Below are 6,000 nucleotides of genomic sequence, written 5' to 3'. Positions count from 1 at the left end.
TTGGTAATGAGCATTTTTATTAAATTCCCCAAGTACAAGCCCCGGTGTACACAATAAGCAATTTCAGTTTTGAGTAACTGCCAGGGAAGGAATGTCCCCCTTTCTGTTTGTTGACTGCCTTCTGATTTGTTTGAAAGCTTTTTTCTTCTTGCATTATCTTGACCATTCCTGGTATGAAGGATGTTGTCTTGTTTCTCCTCAGTTTCATCTTCTGCAGAAGAAGAAACCATGCCAGGCGGCAGTCTCTTACTGTTCATGGCTTCCATGGCTTTACTCTGTTCCCTTTTTCTCTCACAAGTCATCAGCTCAGATCTAAAAATACTCTAAGGGTAAATCCACTGGTGAATAAAATGGTTCCAATGTGCCATATTCCTTTCTTTAGAAAGCAAGAATTACCTCCATATATGAATCTAAAGAATCAATTGTTATCTATGCTAGAAAAATAAAGACCATTAATAAGTGCAATATTGAAATGGGTGAACATCAATTTAGAGACAAGTACTAAACTAGCAAAGTTTTTGCTAGGTTTCCTCCAGAACATAATACCATTTATAGACCTTCTAGGACAAACCATCTTTTATTGACATTAACAGAAGAAGATAATCACATTTTTTATAAAGGCAGGCAAGGTTTTCATTATAAGCTGTTCTATAGTATTTGTATATGTGGTTTTTAACCTTGTGCATATGCTACTTTGATTTCTTCGACAGCTGAGAATGAAGGAGAAAAACCTCATATCTAGATCAATGTCTTATATTTTATTTCCAACATTTTGGACTAATTTTGAAGTAAGAGCAAATAAAGTTTCACATTTGCTGAGTATTTGTTATGTACAAAGTGTTACTTTAAAGGTACTACTGGATATGCACTCATTCAAAAAGCTGGAATATGTTCCACAAAGATTGGTTCCACAAATATCTTTTGTTCCACGAAGATTTCAAAGTGTGGAATGTGTTCCACAAAGATTTTCTGCTGAAGAGCAACTTCAGCAGGGTAGTAAAGAGGTAGAAAAATCTCCTAGGTTGAATAACTGAGGCTACTGAAATTGGCATGCAAACAACTAGACACATTATCTAACCCATCATAGATGAAATGTTCTGGACTCTGGGTTCCTGCCAAATATAATAGCAACACAGGCCAGGCGTGGTGGCTTATGCCTGTAACACCAGCACTTTGGGAGGCTGAGGCGGGAGGATCCCTTGAGCTCAGGAGTTCGAGACCAGCCCGGGCAACATAGTGAGACCTCATCTGTGCTAAAATTTAAAAAATTGGCCAGGCGTGGTAGCACGCACCTGTAGGCCCAGCTACTTGGGGGCTGAGGTGGGAGGATTGCTTGAGCCCAGGAAATCGAGGGTGAGGCTGCAGTAAGCCCTGATCATGCCACTGCACTCTAGCCTGGGTGACAGAGCAAGACCTTGTCTCAAAAACAAAACAAAACAAAACAAAACAAAAATAGCAACACAAGTTAACATCTGATTCTCCATACCGAATATCTTTCCTATACCATTGTCCATCTCGGACTCAGGTTAAGCAATGTGTCTGGCTCATTCACACAACAGTTGAGTGTGGGGCGGGAAGTGTGACAACCAGCAGTCAAAAATCTTAGGTTCAAATTCTGACTGGCTCAAGATTTGTGACTCAACAAAGAATTCACTTAACTTCTTTCACCTGAAGTCTCCATACATGAAAATGGGGACCGCCAGTACTCCCTCCATGAACAACACGGGGAGGGGCCGGGAGGATGATGTGGATGTGAATGATCCCTGACAGACACTCAGTAAATGTTTAATGAGTCTGTTATCTAAGCACTATCCTCAAGGAGAACCAGCAGACTCCTCGGGAAGGTAAGTGGCTTGGGACAGTCCCTTTCCAGGAATGGTGACCGCCACCAACAATATCAATAATCCAGCACAGACTGGAGCTCAGTGACACAAACTGCTCTGTTGTTATGTTAGACACAATGACTTCCTTCTAACCCTCAGACTCTACAATGATGTGGATCTGGATTTTCCCAAATTAAACACAGTGAAAAGGAACTACCTGTGTTCCCCAAGGGCTAAGTACCTGCATCAACCTCTCACCATGCACCACTCGCAGCACTTTCTGTGCACGTGGGGTCACACTGACTCACCCCAACATCCCTAATGCGGTGGGCACTCTAATCATGCCCATTTTACAGAGGAGGGACTGGAACTCGGAGACCACTCTGCCCAGGACCACACAGCTCGTCAGCAGCAGAGCTGGGGCCTGGCCTCAGAGCACATGCTCAGCCACTCTGCTATAATTTCTCTGGTGGAAATCACAGTGAAAGTCCCGTCGTTTCAGACATATGCTGGGATTCTAAACCTTATGCAGTCTGTACCTACTCTCATGAGAACAACAGTAAAGTCTAAATAAAACCTTAAAAGTCACTGTGTGGCTGAGCTTCAGGTTAGTGACATGTTTTTCTTAAAAGTCAATTTAATGTCAAAACATGCCCCCCCATGATAGAGAGAGTAGCGCCACGTTACAGATACTAAGACTCAAAGAACATGTGCAAAAGACAAAGAACCAAAATTTTCTGATAGCAAAATCTTTCACAGCTTCCTCTTGTCCAAAGAAAAACTGAAGATAAATCCACACTCCAAACATGTCTTTAGTTTAGAATTCTGACAGATGACTTGGCAGTGAGTGTCAAAAACTTAAGTGTACATAACCTATGACCCTACAAATTCCACTTCTCAGATCTTACAGAAATACTAATACAAGTATACAAAGAAATCTGTGCAAGGATGCTGACTGCAGCAGTGTTTGTTAAGAGCAAAAACTAAAAACAAGCAGACTATCCATCCACTCGGCTAAACACATGATGACAGACACTCAATGGAACGCCACGCAGCCAGTTAAAAGAATGAGGTAGCTCCAGCTTCACTGACACAAAGGATTCTCTTAGATATACTCTTAAGCAAAAAAGCAAGTGACAGGATGTGTGTGGTATAATCCTATTTTATTAAAAATAAACTGTGTGTGTGTATACGTGTGTGTGTGTGAGACAGAGATGTAAAGACATAGAAAAGGGCCTAGAAAAATACATAAACTTCCCTTGGGAGGTGGAAATTGAGGGAGGGGGTCTCTCATGTTCTACATTGTGGATGTCTGTATTTGCTTGAAATTATTTATGAAATAATATAATATTTTGAAACAAAAGATTTTGGAGGCTAATTTTCTAAAGGGAATAGCATAGCTTAGATATGCCCCTAAACTGAAATGTAAACTTTTTTCCCATTTGCAAACCTGTGAGTACGTAGTAAGAGAAACATTGCCACAAAATCCTCTTTTAAAAGCTCTTTCAGGACACTAAATTAAGTCATTCATTTCTGAGATTTTAAAGGCCAACAATGTCTCTATTTTCAGACTATGTCACAAATGACATAAATGCCAAAATTATAGATCTTAAGAAGACAACACATAAAATACAGACTTAGACAAAACAAATGACTAAAGCTGCATAGTTCTGCTAGACTTTATTCAAAACTGGCTCTATTCTTAATTATTTGAGAGACCTAAAATTCTAGTGTTCAAATGTAAATACCCATCATATACTGAAAAGTCATCTTCAAATTTGTGTTCTGACCCAAATTTGGCTCAATTAAATCATACGAAAGTCAGACAACACAAATGGTTACACCTCAGCATATAACAAAATCCTGGAAGCAGCATAGCAAGTGAGCTATGACATCATTTAACTCTCAAACAGAACTGTAATCTTAAGTTACACACACCACAATACACCTTTGCACAGGTAATTTTATTCTCTCCTGTGGGTGTTGACAGTGCTCATTGATTGAAATTTGAAACGTTCAGAAATCCCATACCTGAAGATGGTCACATATTCTTTACATCATGATTCAGTAACTATTCAACAGTTATGTCTACTAAATACAGTGAACAAAACAGTATAAATGTTTACACCATTCCCCTGTGAACAGGGCTTTTGTGCACAATAGTAACAAATGGAATTAATGCATACCATGATATCAATAAGGAAGAGACCTTCTCTTTAAATAAACTATTTTGTTTATAAATAAACTCTGATTTTTTTAGTACACATTTACAGACCTGATCAATAAAAAGAAACTATATATATATATTTTTTCCTTTAAAAAGAAAATGTTGAGATACAGACCACTGTGGGAGAATTCACCTAGGAAAGGGCGTAAGAAGCAAGCAAAGGATACTAGAGTTAAAAGTACGACCATACTGCAACTTATTTCTGTTAGCACACACAAACACAAGGACAGGATTGTCGGGGGAGGAGCCCATTTTCACTTGAATTCCAGCAAGTTGCAATCAATCTTGTAGTACACATAGGGGTAGTATTCTTGTTGACTCAGGTTTAAACCTGGAATATCCATAGGAGCCTATGGAAAAAACAGACAATTATTCAATTTTGTATTTACAGAACTCAAAAAAAGAAAGCAAGTATTAACATTTACCTTTTTATTGAACATCTACTCTGGGCTAAATGTATGCACTTAAGGCTAATTTATCTGAGTTAGACATTATTCCCATTTTGCAAATGAGAAAACAATCTCTGAAAGACTGACTTCTCCTAGGAAACACAGACAGTGAGTGGTAAAGCCAGGTTCAAGCATTCTGACTGCATATGTATTTAGCATGATCCCACCAACCTTTTTTATGTATACTGTAAAAATTAACTTTTTAAATCTTGGACTTAGAATACTGAGTTGATGGGATACAAGACTTACAAAATATGGAGTAAAAATAAAGCAAGTATGATTTATAAGTAATACTTATTCTGTAATATCAGCACTTTGAGAGGCCAAGGCCTTGAGCCCAGGAGTTCAAGACCAGTCTGGGCAACATAGTGAGACTCTATCGCTACAAAAAATAAAAATAAAAACATTAACCAGCAGTGGTACTGCGTGCCTATAGTCCCAACTACTTGGAAGGCTGAGGTGGGAGGATCACTTGAGCATAGAGGTTGAGGCTGCAGTGAGCCAAAACCATGCCACTGCATTCTAGCCTGAGCAACAGAGCCAAAAAACAAGCAAGGATAACACTTATTATAAATGCATGTTATAAGAATTTACTGCTAGAACATTTATGTATCAAATAATTATACCTCTCATTTTATCCACAATTGCATGAAAGTGGAGCAAGTTGGCCGGGGGCAAGGTGGCTCACGCCTGTAATCTTAGCACTTTGGGAGGCCGAGGTGGGCGGATCACCTGAGGTCAGGAGTTCAAGACCAGCCTGGCCAACATGGTGAAACCGCAGCTCTACTAAAAATACAAAAATTAGCCAGGCATAATCCCAGCTACTCAGGAGGCTGAGGCAGGAGAACTGCCTGAACCCAGGAGGCAGAGACTGCAGTGAGCCAAGATCACGCCACTTCACTCCAGCCTGGGCAAAAGAGCGAAACTCCATCTCGAAAAAAAAAAAAAAAAAAAGAAAAAGAAAAAAAGTGTAGCAAGTCATTTCCCGCATTTCCTTCTATCAAGAAAAACTGATTTTTCATAGTTCTAATTAATGCCTATGTGAGATGCTACCATCTACCCTAAACTTTTAAAGAGAAAAAAAAAAATCAGCAAGATATTTAAAACCAGAAATATAAAGTAAAAGCCCACTACAATTTTTTTTTTTTTTTTTTTTGGGACGGAGTCTCCCTCTGTCACCCAGGCTGGAGTGCAGTGGCGCAATCTTGGCTCACTGCAACCACCCCCCGAGGTTCAAGCGATTCTCCTGCCTCAGGCTCCCGAGTAGCTGGGATTATAGGTGACCGCTGCCACGCCCAGCTAATTATTGTATTTCTAGTAGAGACGGGGTTTCACCATGTTGGCCAGGCCGGTCTCAAACTCCTGACTTAAGGTGATCCCCCCGCCTCGGCCTCCCAAAGTGCTGGGATTACAGGCGTGAGCCACCACGCCCAGCGGCCCACTACAATTTTAAACAGCAACAACAAAAAAACACAAGTAACTCTGTTTATATCTTCTTTTG

General features: G+C 39.9%; 1 protein-coding gene across 1 annotated transcript in view; it reads right to left on the bottom strand.

Moving 5' to 3' along the window:
- ATP6V1C1 (ATPase H+ transporting V1 subunit C1) overlaps positions 1-6,000 on the bottom strand; it is a 51,969-nt gene continuing 45,969 nt past the window's right edge. Inside the window, exon 13 of the mRNA NM_001695.5 lies at positions 1-4,400. Within this exon, the coding sequence (NP_001686.1) occupies positions 4,305-4,400 (96 nt within the window). The 3' untranslated portion in view covers positions 1-4,304. The remainder of the gene's footprint in view (positions 4,401-6,000) is intronic.

The sequence above is a fragment of the Homo sapiens genome, chromosome 8 (genome assembly GCF_000001405.40).
Source record: "Homo sapiens chromosome 8, GRCh38.p14 Primary Assembly".
NCBI classification, from domain to species: Eukaryota; Metazoa; Chordata; class Mammalia; order Primates; family Hominidae; genus Homo; species Homo sapiens.
Note: the sequence above shows the minus strand (reverse complement) of the source record. Positions and strands in the feature narration are given on the sequence as shown.